General features: G+C 37.5%; 2 protein-coding genes across 5 annotated transcripts in view; one reads left to right on the top strand and one right to left on the bottom strand.

Moving 5' to 3' along the window:
- LPAR6 (lysophosphatidic acid receptor 6) overlaps positions 1 to 6,370 on the top strand; it is a 55,099-nt gene extending 48,729 nt beyond the window's left edge. For both annotated transcript variants that reach the window (XM_047430024.1, XM_047430023.1), the window contains 2 exons: positions 4,380 to 4,541; positions 6,129 to 6,370. In XM_047430024.1, the coding sequence (XP_047285980.1) occupies positions 4,380 to 4,541; positions 6,129 to 6,230 (264 nt within the window). In that variant the 3' untranslated portion in view covers positions 6,231 to 6,370. The remainder of the gene's footprint in view (positions 1 to 4,379; positions 4,542 to 6,128) is intronic.
- The window catches only part of RB1 (RB transcriptional corepressor 1), a 178,140-nt gene that overhangs the window by 85,950 nt on the left and 76,265 nt on the right, over positions 1 to 15,925 (bottom strand). For 2 of the 3 annotated variants that reach the window (NM_001407165.1, NM_000321.3), the window contains exons 15-17: positions 15,857 to 15,888; positions 15,700 to 15,776; positions 14,498 to 14,694 (exon numbers count right to left, since the gene is read on the bottom strand). In NM_001407165.1, the coding sequence (NP_001394094.1) occupies positions 14,498 to 14,694; positions 15,700 to 15,776; positions 15,857 to 15,888 (306 nt within the window). Of the gene's footprint in view, positions 1 to 9,773; positions 14,695 to 15,699; positions 15,777 to 15,856; positions 15,889 to 15,925 lie in introns of those variants that run through there. The other variant, NM_001407166.1, reaches the window with a different exon arrangement.

The raw sequence follows: 15,925 nt of genomic DNA, 5'->3' as shown, positions 1-15,925 counted from the left end.
GGTGAATCTGACGATTATATGTCCTGGGGTTCCTCTTCTTGAGGAGTATCTTTGTGGTGTTCCCTGTATTTCCTGAATTTGAATGTTGGCCTGTTTTGTTGGGTTGGGGATGTTCTCTTGGATAATATCCTGTAGAGTGTTTTCTAACTTGGTTCCACTCTCCCTGTCACTTTCAGGTACACCAATCAAACATAGGTTTGGTCTTTTCACATAGTCCCCTATTTCTTGGAGGCTTTGTTCATTCCTTTTCATTCTTTTTTCTCTAATCTTGTCATCACGCTTTATTTCATTAAGCTGATCTTCAATCTCTGATATCCTTTTTTTCTGCTTGATCGATTCAGCTATTGGTACTTGTGTATGCTTCACAAAGTCCTCGTGTTGTGTTTTTTCAGTTCCGTCAGGTCATTTATGTTCTTCTCTAAACTGGTTATTCTAGTTAGCAATTCCTCTAACCTTTTTTCAAAGTTCTTAGCTTCCTTGCATTGGGTTAGAACATGGTCCTTTAGCTCGGAGGAGTTTGTTATTACCCACCTTCTGAAGCCTACTTCTGTCAATTCGTCAAACTCCCCTTGCTGGGGAGGAGTTGTCATTCTTTGGAAGAGAAAAGGCGCTCTGGTTTTTGGAATTTTCAGCCTTTTTGTGCTGGTTTTTCCTCATCTTCATGGATTTATCTACCTTTGGTCTTTGATGTTGATGACCTTCAAATGGGGTTTCTGTGTGGACGTCCTTTTTGTTGATGTTGATGCTATTCATTTCTGTTTGTTAGTTCTCCTTCTAACAGTCAGGCCCCTCTGCTGCAGGTGTGCTGGAGTTTGCTGGAGGTCCACTCCAGACCCTGTTTGCCTGGTATCACCAGTGGAGGTTGCAGAAGAGCAAAGATTGCTGCCTGTTCCTTCCTCTGGAAGCTTCGTCCCAGAGGGGTACCCACCAGATGGCAGCTGGAACTCTCCTGTATGAGGTGTCTGTTGATTCCTGCCAGGAGGTGTTTCCCAGTCAGGAGGCACAGGGGTCAGGGACCCACTTGAGGAGACAGTCTGTCCCTTAGCAGAGCTTGAGCACTGTGCTGGGAGATCTGCTGCTCTCTTCAGAGCCAGCAGGCAGGAATGTTTAAGTCTGCTGAAGATGTGTCCACAGCTGCGCCTTCCCCCACGTGCTCTGTCCCAGGTAGATGGGAGTTTTATCTATAGGCCCCTGACTGGGGCTGCTGCCTTTCTTTCAGAGATGCCCTGCCCAGAGAGGAGGAATCTAGAAAGGCAGTCTGGCTACAGCGGATTTAGGGAGCTGTGGTAGGCTCTGCCCAGTTTGAACTTCCTGGTGGCTTTGTTTACACTGTGAGGGGAAAACTCAAGCCTCAGTAATGGGGAATGCCCCTCCCCCTACCTAGCTCTACCATCCCAGGTCGACCTCAGACTGCTGTGATGGCAGCGAGAATTTCAAGCCAGTGGATCTTAGCTTGCTTGGCTCCATGGGGGTGGGATCCGCTGAGGTAGACCACTTGGCTCCCTGGCTTCAGCCCCCTTTCCGGGGGAGTGAATGGTTCTAACTCGCTGTCATTCCAGGCACCACTGGAGTACGAAAGAAAACTCCTACAGCTAGCTCGGTATCTGCCCAAACAGCTGCCCAGTTTTGTGCTTGAAACCCAGGGCCCTGGTGGTGTAGGCACCCGAGGGAATCTCCTGGTCTGTGGGTTGCGAAGACTGTGGGAAAAGCATAGTATCTGGGCTGGAATGCAATGTTCCTCATGACACAGTCTGTCACAGCTTCCCTTGGCTAGGGGAGGGAGTTCCCCAACCCCTTGTGCTTCCCGGGTGAGGTGATGCCCCATCCTGCTTCAGCTTGCCCTCCGTGGGCTGCATCCACTGTCTAACCAGTCCCAATGAGATGAGCCAGGTACCTCAGTTGGAAATGGAGAAATCACCTGCCTTCTGGGTTGATCTCGCTGGCAGCTGCAGACCAGAGCTGTTCCTATTTGGCTATCTTGCCAGCCCATCCTAAGTATTTTCTTATGTAAAAGTATGTTGGCCAAGTACTTGTGTAACTGAATGAAGAAATTTGCTAATATTTGGTGACCACAGAAAAAGAGTATGACAGAATCCAATTAGTAAGTCAGCTACATTTGACACATTTAAAGGAGACTCAATGTTTATGTGACGTACCAAAATTTAATACAAAAAAATAGTTAATAACTAGTACTTCTATGTTCTCCATATAGTAAGCACCCCTCTGAAACAGTATAATGCATCAGTCAGAAGACCTGATGCATTTAACACAAGGAAGCGGAAATGATACCCTAAATATTCTGTAAGTGTACATATTTCATATTTGTAAATACTTCATCAATCACTAAGCCTTACGTTTAGTAACCCTGCCAGCTCTGATGAAGAAACAGGGACCAGATTCGTTTAAACAACCACAAAATTGAACAACATAAATAAAAGAATTCTTTTTACACAATAAACAACAGGCAGTACAGAACAGCAATCCCTGGGAGAAGGAAAACAAATGGTGAGCCTCATTATTGCCACAGCTTACTGCCTGGGGACAGTTTATGGTCCACAGTCCAGAGATGAGAAACTGGAATGCAGCCCAGTGGTCCCCCAGTTGAAGAAACAGAGTTAAGAAATGGGAGATGCCAAGGCAAACTAAAATTAGCAGGACAGAATACTAGAGAGAAGAAAGCTACAAAAAGAGAACTCCAGAGGTCTGCAGAGGGTTAAGCTTGAGTCTTCAGCTGAGTACTGATCAGTGCATGGATGTGATGATACTACTCAAAACCAGGGAAGAACCATGGGAAGGAGTAGAATCCTTCCAGGAGCTGACACAGGGTCAGGAAGAGTTCTGCTTTCAACTAGCCAGAGTGGAAAAACCTTGTCATATATGGGATATTCAGTAGAGTACTCAGAAGAGCAATGCCTGGATAGTGAAGGAAAATCGGCTATTGATTAAAGACTGCTCTGTGTCCAAAAACAAAAACCAGATAAATAAATAAATGAAGCCTTAAAAAAGTCAAATTATTTCCAGATAATTTAATTGTGTTCCAAAACACAGGTCAAAATAGTGAAAGGAATACAAAAATATCCAGGACCCACTAAAGCAAAATTCATGATATCTGGCACCTAACAAAAAAATCACCAAGCAGTCAAAAAAGCAGAAACATACGACTCTTAAAAAAAAGAGAGAGAGAGAGAGAACTATCAGTCAAGAGAAACAGACCTAAAAAGACATAGGTACTAGACTTAGTAACAGGGACATTTAAAAAGTTATAATACCTATATCCCATATGTTCAAGAAGGTAAAGAAAAGCATAAACATAATAAAAATAGATATGGAAGATATAAAAAGGACCCAAATCAAATTTCTAGAAATGAAAACTATAGTAAGACTAAAAATACAATAAATGAGATTAATAGCAGATTAGATACCTCAGAAGAAAAAAATTAATAAACTTGAAGACATAGCTTTAGAAGGTATTCAACATGAAATACAGAAAGAAAAACCTGCAGGAAAAAGATACAGCAAAAAAAGAACAAGGCCAGGCGTGGTGGCTCATGCTTGTAATCCCAGCACTTTGGGAAGCCAAGGTGGGTGGGTCACCTGAGATCAGGAGTTCGAGACCAGCCTGGCCAGCATGGTGAAACCCCATCTTTACTAAAAATACAAAAATTAGCCGGGCATGGTGGCATGTGCCTTTAGTCCCAGTCACTCAGGAGGCTGAGGCAGAAGAATCGCTTGAACCTGGGAGGCAGAGGTTGCAGTGAGCTGGGATCATGCCACTGCACTCCAGCCTGGGCAAAAGAGCGAGGCTTCATCTCAAAAAAAAGAAAAAAAGAAACAAGGCAAACCAGAAGACAGTGGAGCAATATTTTTAAAGCACTCAAAGAAAAAACAAAAAGACTGTCAACCTAGAATTCAATACCCAGCAAAAGACCTTTTAAAAATAAAGGTAAAATGTTTTTTTCCAGACATAAAAGCTGGAAGAATTCATCACTAGTAGACATGCACACAAGAAATGTTTTTTGTTGGCTGGGTGCGGTGGCTCATGCCAGTAATCCCAGCCCTTTGGGAGGAGGCCGAGGCAGGCAAATCACGAGGTCAGGAGTTCGAGACCAGCCTGATCAACATGGTGAAACCCTTTCTCTACTAAAAATATAAAAATTAGCTAGGCATGGTGGCGTGTGCCTGTAATCCCAGCTACTCAGGAGGCTGAGGCAGGAGAATCGCTTGAACCCAGGAGGTGGAGGTTGCAGTGAGCCAAGATCGCGCCACTGCACTCCAGCCTGGGTGACAGAGAGAGACTCCATCTCAAAAAGAAAAAAAAAATAGAAATGCTTTTTGTTTGTTTTATAAGAATAGAGACAGAGTTTTGCTTTGTTGCCTAGGCTGGTTTTGAACTCCTGGCTTCAAGAGATCCTCCCGCCTCAGCCCCACTAAGTGTTGGGATTACGGGTATGAGCCACTGCCCCTGGCCAAAAAAAGTTTTACAGTCAGAAGGAAAACAAAAGGAATCTGGATCTACACAAGGAATGAAGAGTACTGGAAAGGTAAATATGTAATCAAATAAAAACATCTTTTTTCTCTTGTTTTGAATTCTCTTTAAGAGATAATTGGTTTAAAACAAAAGTTATGAGTGTATTGTAGAGCTTATAACTTCTGTCGAAGCAAAATGTATGACAACAACAGCCCAAAGGTTGGAAAAGGGAAAATGGAAATATACTATTCTAAGATTCTTATACTGTATGTGAAGTAGTGTAATACTATTTAAAGAAAGACTATTAAAGATTAAAGATTCATATTATAAATCAAAAAACAATTACAAAATAAAGAAGTATAGACAGTAAGCCTACAAAGAAGATAAAACAGAATTTTAAAAATTCAATCCAAAAGAAGGCAGAAAAAGAGGAAAGGGAGGAAAAGGGAGATGAGACAAATAGAAAATGAATAATAAGATGGAGAATTTAAACCCAACCATATCAATAGTCACATTAAATTTAAATCTAAACATCCCAATTAAAAGGCAGATACTGTTAGGCAAGATTTAAGAAAGCAACACCCAACAATATGCTGCCTATAAGAAAATCACTTCTTTAAGAATAAAGACACGTATAAGTTAAATAAAGAATGGGGAAAATATGCCATGTTGATATTAATGGGAAGAAAGCTGGAATGGCTTCACTAGTATCAGGCACAAGTAGTTTTCAGAGCAAACAATATTACGAGGGATAAAGAGAGGGTCATTTTATAATGATTAAAGAGGTAAATTCATCAAAGGACATTACAAATCTAATGCTTTATGCACCTAAATTCTATATGTTAGACATTAGATTAGGTATTGAGAGAGAGATTAGTTTTTTTTTAAGTGAGCCAGGAGTTTTGCTTTCAGGACCTCTCTAGCCCTCTGCCCCATTTAGTCCCACTTGTCTCCTGGTTACTCCCCTCAAGCACTGAAGACATTAGTCTTTATTTCAGTCACATTCCTCCTTGCTACATGTCCTGGACTCTTGCTCACTGTACTTTCTGGCTCCTTGGCCAGGATCCTCATGCACTCCCAAGATCATTTCTTAAAATACAGTAAACTACCCAGAAATGTTCTGTCTCCAGAAATTCTAAGGTGAAACAACTCTTTGACTACAACCTCCTACACTTTCATTCTCATTGTTACTCCCACTACACCTATTAAACTTCATTAAATTCATTACGTTCAACTTCATTATTTAATGAATGAATTATTTAATGAAATATCCTGTTACTTTTTGTTTGTTTGTTTTGGGGTTGTTTGCTTGTTTTGTTTGTTTTTGAGGCAGGATCTCATTCTACCACCCAGGCTGGTGTGCTGTGGTGCAATCACAGCTCACTGCAGCCTTAACATCCCAGGCTCAGGCAATTCTCCCAGTTCAGCCTCCCAAGAACCACAGGTGTGTGCCACCACACCTGGCTAATTTTAAAAATTATCTGTAGAGACAGGGTCTCCCTATGTTGCCAAGGCTGGTCTTGAACTCGGGCTCAAGCAATCCTCTCACCTTGGCTTCCCAAAGTGCTGGGATTACAGGTGTGAGACACTGCACCCTGCCAAATATCCTGTTTCTTAAAACCTCTACTTTCACTATGAATCTCCTATCTTCTCTCTGCAGGTGAAAACTCCAAAGCTTAACATTCTAACCACTCTAGGGAGGGAGGATGGGAGGAAGAGAGCTGAGTGTGCACCAAGGAGCGGTAAGATGCCAGACCTGTGAGTGAAGAAGCATCTTGGAAGTGGACCCTATAGCTCCAGGCACCTGCTGACACATAGTCGGAGACAAACCACCCAGTCAAGTTCAACCCAAATTCCTGACCCAAAAAATCATAAGCAAAATAAAATATTTGTTTAAAGCCACTAATTTGTTATCCAGCAATAGAGAACACTTCTAATGGCTCTTTTCCATCAATATTTAAACCCTACCTTTCTGATTTAAAAAATATGTTTATATTCCCTCTACTTCACATACATCAAGCTGTATCTTTACTTCTGTTATATCTTTATTTCTCTTCACAGGCAAAACTTTTGATAAAAGCCATCTATTTGACTGTGTCCACTTTATCTCTCATTCAGATCTCATCCTATCCCCACCCCTTCATTTAACAGTCCTTGTCACTGTCACCAGTGACTTCATTGTTGCTAAAACTTTTCAGCTCCTATCTGAAAAGTCTGAGTGAGCAAGCACTCACTCAGACTTTGTAATGTTCTCTCTCTCCTTTTCCTTTTTTTCAGTTTTTAATTTAATTTAATTTTATTTTATTTTATTTTTGAGACAGAGTCTTGCTCTGTCACTGAGGCTGGAGTGCAGTGGCACAATCTTGGCTCACTCAACCTCCGCCTCCCGGGCTCAAGCGATTCTCATGCCTCAGCCTCCCGAGTAGCTAGAATTACAGGCATTCACCACCAGGCCCAGCTAATTTTTGTATTTTTAGTAGAGACAGGGTTTTGTCATGTTGGTCAGGCTAGTCTCGAACTCCTGGCCTCAAGTGATCCACCTGCCTCAGCCTCCCAAAGTGCTGGGATTACAGGCGGGAGCCATTGCACCTGGTCGGTCTCTCTATGATACCACTTCTCCTGATTTTCTTCTTATCTTCCTGGCTGTTCTATTTCAATCTCTTTTGTAGGCACAGGCTTCTCTTTTCTGTCCATCCTTTAAATGTTAGAGCTCCTTAGAATTCTATCTTTAGCCTCCTTCTCTTCTCATACTATATTCTCCCCTTAAGTGATCTTATCCCTTCTCCAAACTTCAGTTACTCAGCAAAGCATAAGGATTAATAGCTTTGGAGCCAGAAAGACCTGGGTTCAAATCACAGATCTTGCCATTTTGCTTGTGTGGTCTAGGGCAAGTTATTAAACTTTTCTAAGCATTCATTTCCTGATCTAGGGTAAACTACCTCATGGATTATGATGAAAATTAAATTTAAGAAGTGCTCACCAAAGTGCCTGGCACAAGATAAACTGTCAAAAAAGGGTGGCATTTTTTATGGTCCATAATCTTAGCCTAGATTTCTTTCCTAAGTTCCAGACACACATATCCAACTGCTACTTGACACCTCTATTGAAATGACCTATAATTACTTAAAACTCATCAAATGAAATTCATCTTCCCAAGCAAACCTCATTCAATCCTAGGTATCTTATTTTAATGAATGACACTACTATCCACTTAAGTTATACAAGCCAGAAACCTGCATGTCATCATAAGTTGACTCCTCTCTGTTCTTTACCCTTATGTAATTAACTGCTACATTTTATAATACAATGTCAGATATTGTTTTAAGTACTTTACATGAATTTAACATGAGATATGCACATATAGTAAAACAAAGTTTATAAATGACTAGTTAAGTATATAGATAATAAACAATTTAAGACTAAATGAGGGAAGAATGACTATAGACTAGGATGATCAGGAAAGGCAAAATGGACCTTAAAATCTGGTCAAGAAAAAGGCAGAGGAAAGCATTTCAAGACTCAGGGACAGGCAAAAACAAACATGGTTGTGTGAGTGAAAGACAAGTCTGAGTGGGGAAGAGAATACAGGCAAGGGTTCTCAAACTTTTTGGACTCAAAACCCTTTTATATTCTTAAAATTACTAAGGACCCCAAAAGCTTTTGTTTGTGTGGGTTAAATCTATTAATATTTACTTTGTTAGTAATTAAAACTTAATTTAGTTAAAATTTAATTAAAACAGAAATTTAAAAAATTACATCCTATACAATTCACCCATTTAATGTGTACAATTCAATAGTTTTTAGTATATTCACAGAGATGATAAAAGTGTTATAAAATTGACTACAATAATGAGTCAATTTTACAACATTTTCATTATCTCAAAAAGAAAAACCATACTCTCTAGCCATCATCCTCAAAACACCTAGTCCTCCCCACCAGCCTTAGAAAACCAATAATCTACTTCCTATCTCTACTGAATTGCCTCTTGTGGACATTTCATATAAATGAATTTATACAATATGTGGTTTTCTGTGACTGGCTTCTTTCAACATCATGTTTTCAAGGTGGTTATATATTCTTCCATTAGGAAGCATAAAGTAGCTAATAGCTTTTTTACATTAAAGGATGTTGAGGGCTCAAAAGAACTTGAGAAAATTTAAAAATATTTATCTTAATAAACCCATTATGTTAACATAAATAATTTTTAATGAAAAATAACCATATTCTACAAAACAAAAAAGATAGAACAATAGCACTGTTTTATGATCTTCTGAATGTCTTCACTATCTGGCATAACAGCAAAGAGCTGAATTTTCCTATCCGCTTCTACATTTACTTTGTTGCAATATGCTGTTTAGGTTGAAGTATACAAAGAAAAATCTGGCCTCATATGGAAAGAGGAGGAGTACTTTAATAACCTTTTCAGATAATTATGGTTACTGTTTTCTGACACTACGCCAAAACTCGACAAGTCATAGTTTCTTAAAGGTTAGTTGCAGGGCGGAACTGGAAACAATCTCAATGAACCGAAATAAATTTTTCGTATTTTAAGACTTTAAAATCCATTGGTTTATCTTGAACTTTTAATGAATATCTTACCCGTGAATGATTTTATAACGATGTATTTGGTCATTTGGAAATACTGGTTCACTGAATTATGTACTTCTTGTAAATGTTTACAAATCTCTCACATTCATTGATATCACCACCGATTTCATCAGAAAAGTATTTTATATATTAGGACTCTGTCAAGCTTTCAGTGGTGGATACAAGTTTCTAAAATTCTAATTTTTACTTGAAAACACAAAATTTATCATTGGCAACCTTTACTGTCAGTTGTTTTCTTTGAAATGACAGGCTCACTTTGTTCACTTTCAAGAATCTACCACATACCCAAGCATAAATAAACACAATTGCTTATCAGTCTTACAAGTAACACATGTGTTTCACGAAAAGAGTGACGGGTTCAGTTCACAACTCAACCAATAAAATAAGTATTTTTCCTCAAGACAGCTATCATACTTTGGTATGCAACTTTCTACATACTTCAGTTTCATCACATTGAATATTAAAAAGACATACTCAAGAGTGGAGATTAAAAAAAAAATACCATACAGGTCTGTAGTCTAGAAGCAACAGGCTATTCCTACCCTGATGTGTAGCAGGCTATACCACCTAGGTTTGTGTAAGCACACTCTATGATGTTCACACAATGACAAAGTTGCCTAAATGAAGTATTTCCTAGAATGTATCCCCATCATTTAGCAATGCCTAACCAAAGTTAACTTAAAGCTCCCATTCTAGTTTTTTTGTTTTTATTTTTTATTTTTTTGAGACAGAGTCTCGCTGTGTTGCCTCAGCCTCCCAAGTACCTAGGACCACAGGAACATGCCACCATGCCATCACACCTAGCTTTTTTTTTTTTTTTTTAAGAGATGGGGTCTTGCTTTGTTGCCCAGGCTGGTCTTGAACTTCTGGGCTCAAATGATCCTCCCACCTCAGCCTCCCAAAATGCTGGGATTAGGTGTGCACCACACACCTGGCCTAAAGCTCCTATTCTATAAACCAGCATTTGGTTTCTTTGACCTTCTTTCTATGCTGGATAATTTTAGAACTGTATCCTGAACATCATAAATGTTACATTGTGAAGATCCTAAATTCTGTTATTTTTCTAAAATGAGAATGGTTTTGTTGTAAGAAGCAATTATCTTTGCTTAACTTGAACTGTTCTGTTTATTGGGCAGCAACTCCAGTTTCAGTTCAGATCTTTTGCCCTTCATTTGGCTGCTCTGAGTCTGTGACACACAGGAATTATTCAGATTTCAGACAGAATCTGGGTACCCTTTCTTGGCTCTTTCCCTTGCAGGATTCTTCCACTCTCTTCAGTGGCCAAGGTTTCCCTAGCTTCAATTTTCCAGTTTTCCTGGTGAAGAGACCCATAGTTTTCCCACTGACATCCCTGCCCTACCTTACTGTCCTTCCCTATACCTACTGCACTTAGCCCTAGACTAAAAGCCTTCTCCTCAGGCTCCCAGCTCCCCTCTTCTCTTTCTCAACTAGCATCTGTTCTTCCTGTCCAGTAATTTCAGTCAGTTACTTTTTGTATTCCAAACAGGTAGTATAGTGGTCTTTTTTGCAGAAAGCCATATGGTAGGGTCTTCTTCCAACATTACCAGATGAATATGTCCTCCACAGGAGGTTTTTTACCTGAGGAATTAGCATGATGAGATTTACATTATGAGCAGATTTCTCTGGCTGCTGTGAGAGAAATGGTCTCAAGGTAGCAAATGAGAGATCAATAGGAAGAGTCCAGAATAGTCCAGGAAAGACAGATCATATAGGGAATAAAGCATCTGACATACTTTGATTTATAAACATTTATTGAAAAAATATGATAAATTCTGAAAATACTGAAACTAAGGCATCCAAATTTCATTTCATCACCTGCTGGCATTATAAACCTCTTAACAGATTTAATAGGGCCAAACTCTTGGAAGTCATTTCATCTAACCCTTAGGTATGATGCATTCGATAGCACCTGTAATCCCCCAACTTTTCAGAGAATGAGATTTCACTAGGTTTCTCAACAGACTTTTCCAGTATCTTACACTCATATATTGCCCATTAATCTCTCTGGGATGAAAAGAAACAGAAGTGGGCTTTTTCCTTATGGATTTATTTTATCTCAAGGCTGTCAAGCAAAAATGCTGAACCCAGTTCCCCACACAACCATTAAAAATAAGATGATGTTCTTTCTTTCATTAAATTATTGGCAGGAGAGAAGTAAGCAGCACCTCATTTGAAATTTCCCTCAGTCAACAACTCTGTGTGAATATGTTCCTATCAATCTACAGTTTTAACGAGAATTTTTTATTATGACACAGAATCAAAAGACTATGAAAGCTTGCTCTGGGCCTTTATCTGGGTGTTGTTTACACGGATGTGTTCAATTTGTGACAAATTCACCAAACTGTCACTTGAGATATATACTTTTCTTAATATGTGTTATATTTCAAATTTTAAAAAAAAGTCTGTGAAAACGCAAATGTATCTATGCCATATCCCTTCTCTATAATGTCAATTATTCTCACAGGAAAAATACACAGTATCCTGTTTGTGTGGCATAACTTATCTTCACAAAGTTATCCACTACCACTCAAGGTTTTTATGATTAAAAATGTAATATAAGACTCAAACACTAAAAATATATGACTAAATAAAAGTCCTCTATAGTTTCATCTGCCAGAGATACTACATTTAATATTTAAATTCAGAGGCTTATGACTTCCACGTCTCCTATTGTAAATCAATCATACTCTTTTCCAGATTTGGGGCTTGTCACTTTTTCTCCAAAAATTCTCAAAAATAAAGGAATATTGTTTAGAAGCCCTAAATAACTGAGCTAAACAGGCTTGAGTACAAACAATTTTTAAACAGTAAATTTCTATTACATCCTCCACAATTTTCCAAGCCTTTATCTTTTTTGTATCTTCACAGTATCTCTCTCAATTCAAGGCATATGGCGTATGTTCAATAAATATGTGTTGATAGAAATAAAATTAATTCTCTAAAAGAAATAACAATAGTCACTTTCAGATGATACAGGAATATCTCAATATCAATTTCTGGGAGGAGAGGACACATAAGCCTTTAAAAAGTACTCTATGTGCTTATTTTATTTACTTATCTATTTATTTTTACTTTCACTTAATTACCCAGATTCAGAAAGTTTTCTTCTAAGTACTCCTTATCAAGTGTAAATTCATTCCATAAGTAGTTATGAAATTCAATAATAGGAGTGTAACATTCTTCTATCAATTTCCCATGTTTCTCTCCTCTATTCACTCTGTCTATATGGCAATACAAGAAAACACTAAGAAATAAATTATCGCTTAGTCATTAAAAATTCAAAACGTAAGGAAATTAAAACTAAGGTTACATGTGCAAATTAGGATTATGGCATACCTAAAGTCTTAATTTTTTAATTACCACTTCTATATACTGATACAAATTAAAAGATATATACTTAGCATGCAACACAGTTTCAAAAGAAACCATTAATTTACAAAACTGATGATTCACAAAGTATTATCCAACTATGTTGATTTGAAGAGCATAACCTCAAGTTGCCACTTTTATTAAAACAAAAGCCTTATCAATAGTTATAATGCTATAAAGAGAATCCTAGACAATATAATTTGTGCCCCTATATTGATTGAACCAATACCTATAATTGAACAATAGTATACATTTTTATACTTTAATAATGGGAAAAAATGAATCCTACTATATTTAACAAGAAAAAAATGCACTTTTTAATAATCTAAATAGCATAATCTCACAATTTAAGAGCAGACATTTGCATTTTCAAATATATAACAACTGTACTTTAAATAAATTATCTAAATACTTTAAAGAATTCTGTTTTGGTTTAGAACAGGGCCCTCAGAAATAATACCACACATCTACAACCATCTGATCTTTGACAAACCTGACAAAAACAAGAAATGGAGAAAGGATTCCCTATTTAATAAATGGTGCTGGGAAAACTGGCCAGCCATATGTAGAAAGCTGAAACTGGATCCCTTCCTTACACCTTGTACAAAAATTAATTCAAGATGGATTAAAGACTTAAATGTTAGACCTAAAACCATAAAAACCCTAGAAGAAAACCTAGGCAATACCATTCAGGACATCGGCATGGGCAAGGACTTCATGACTAAAACACCAAAAGCAATAGCAACAAAAGCCAAAATTGACAAATGGGATCTAATTAAACTAAAGAGCTTCTGCACAGCAAAAGAAACTACGATCAGAGTGAACAGGCAACCTACAGAATGGGAGAAAACTTTTACAATCTACCCATCTGACAAAGGGCTAATATCCAGAATCTACAAAGAACTCAAACAAATTTACAAGAAAAAATCAACCCCATCAAAAAGTGGGTGAAAGATATGAACAGACACTTCTCAAAAGAAGACATTTATGCAGCCAAAAGACACATGAAAAAATGCTCATCATCACTGGCCATCAGAGAAATGCAAATCAAAACCACAATGAAATACCATCTCACACCAGTTAGAATGGCGATCATTAAAAAGTCAGGAAACAACAGATGCTGGAGAGGATGTGAAGAAATAGGAACACTTTTACACTGTTGGTGGGACTGTAAACTAGTTCAACAGTGTGGCGATTCCTCAAGGATCTAAAACCAAAAATAGCATTTGACCCAGCCATCTCATTACTGGGTATATACCCAAAGGATTATAAATCATGCTGCTATAAAGACACATGCACACGTATGTTTATTGTGGCACTATTCACAATAGCAAAGACTTGGAAGCAACCCAAATGTCCAACAATAATAGACTGGAGTAAGAAAATGTGGCACATATATACCATGGAATATGTGGCACATATATACTATGCAGCCATAAAAAAGGATGAGTTCATGTCCTTTGTAGGGACATGGATGAAGCTGGAAACCATCATTCTGAGCAAACTATTGCCAAGACAGAAAACCAAACACTGCATGTTCTCACTCATAGGTGGGAAATGAACAATGAGAACACGTGGACACAGGGTGGGGAACATCACACACTGGGGCCTGTCATGGGGTAGGGAGAGGAGGGAGGGATAGCATTAGGAGATATATCTAATGTAAATGACAAGTTAATGGGTGCAGCACACCAATATGGCACATGTATACATATGTAACAAACCTGCACGTTGTGCACATGTACCCTAGAACTTAAAGTATAAAAAAAAAATCCGTTTTGTTTTAAAGTGGCATGTTTTAAGAAAAGCTATTCTTAAATAAATCACTGTGCTGTATTAGATGGTTTAGGGTGCTCGATTAAAGCTCCATTCTAATATTCCACTTGATCCTTGGGCTATAGACTGAAATAACATTATTCATTAAATTCCCTATATGTTCTTGAGGTAGATGTTAAGAAACACCTCTCACTAACAATAATTTGTTAGCCATATGCACATGAATGAATTTCTTCAATTATTTAGCTACTTACTGAGAGCCATGCAAGGGATTCCATGATTCGATGTTCACATCGTTCTAAATGTTTTATCATTTCTCTTGTCAAGTTGCCTTCTGCTTTGATAAAACTTTCGATCACTTTGTAAAAATCAAAGGCTTTTAAATTAAGCACATTCAGAATCCATGGGAAAGACAAATCTGTTCCAGAATCAAGATTCTGAGATGTACTTCCTAAAAATGAAAAAAAAAAGTAACTATTTATGAAATATTAACCCTTGAGCTAGGTATTTTTTTGGAAGTTATTATCAGACAAAGAAAACAGTAGAAAGGTTAAACCATTTTTATTTAGAGCAGAATTTTTTATTTTGGAGTCTACGGACTCATAGGAAATAGCCTTCCAATTTTGAGTGTAAGCAAATCTGTGTTTTTCCTAGAGAAAGGACTTATAGCTGATCTCAAATTTTCAAAGATTTAAATACCCTAAACTTATATCAGGAACAGGTTTAGTATCTTATCAGCCATTGGCATATCTATTTTAATTCTCATTAATCCTTGGTAAGAGGATAGACAGATTCTTCAAGATTCTGCTAATTTCATTAGTTACAAAATGGTATCTCATTAAAATATGCATTTCTTGGTTATAAATGAGGATTCACAGTTTTCCTTATCTGTTTACTAATAAGGAAACTAAAAGTTCCTCTTTTTCTGTGTTTTGCATCCTTATACAAATGTTCCTTTTGTTTCTGCAAGCAAAACTTTCTTTTAACATTTGCAACATAATTTGCAAAGTGATATACATTTATGTTTTTAAAAACATTGTAATTGGCCTTTGTTCTGTTTATCCAGTGGATTCTAGCTTCAATCTTTAGTTTCATAACCATGGAGGTTACAGCAGTGCTTCCATATCAGTAGAGGCCACTCTTGAATACTCCTTTGGCACTCTACAATCTCAAAGGTCTTCGGAGGGATTTCAAAAAGTACCTTTTTTGGATTCAGTATACCAGTATACTCAGAAGAGAAGCCTAGTGAAATATTATCCCCAAGATGGCCTCAAATAACTCAAATAAGCCTCTTAAATGGCTTATAATGACCAATTACATTCTTCAGTATATAGTGATCTAAAATAAGCATTCCTTCTCCTTAACCTCACACTATCCCTCTCCCCCGACCAAAGAAACACACCACATTTTAACTTTAAATTGAACAAAAGTGTTTATTTATGAAAATTTAACTTACTGCTATATGTGGCCATTACAACCTCAAGAGCGCACGCCAATAAAGACATATGAAAAATGTTGTCATTCAGAAGTTTGCTAAAGGAAAAAAAAAAAGATTATAAAATACTTACTTCTATAAAAAGAAAAAAATTTTTTACTAAAAGTAAAAAATTTACCTAAAATTTTGAATGGATAATCGTTCTTCTTCCTGAAACAGATAATTTAAAAAAAAAAAAAGAAGTTGT

The sequence above is a fragment of the Homo sapiens genome, chromosome 13 (assembly GCF_000001405.40).
Source record: "Homo sapiens chromosome 13, GRCh38.p14 Primary Assembly".
Classification (NCBI taxonomy): Eukaryota; Metazoa; Chordata; class Mammalia; order Primates; family Hominidae; genus Homo; species Homo sapiens.
The sequence above is the reverse complement of the archived record's forward strand: the minus strand, read 5'-3'. Positions and strand labels throughout refer to the sequence as shown.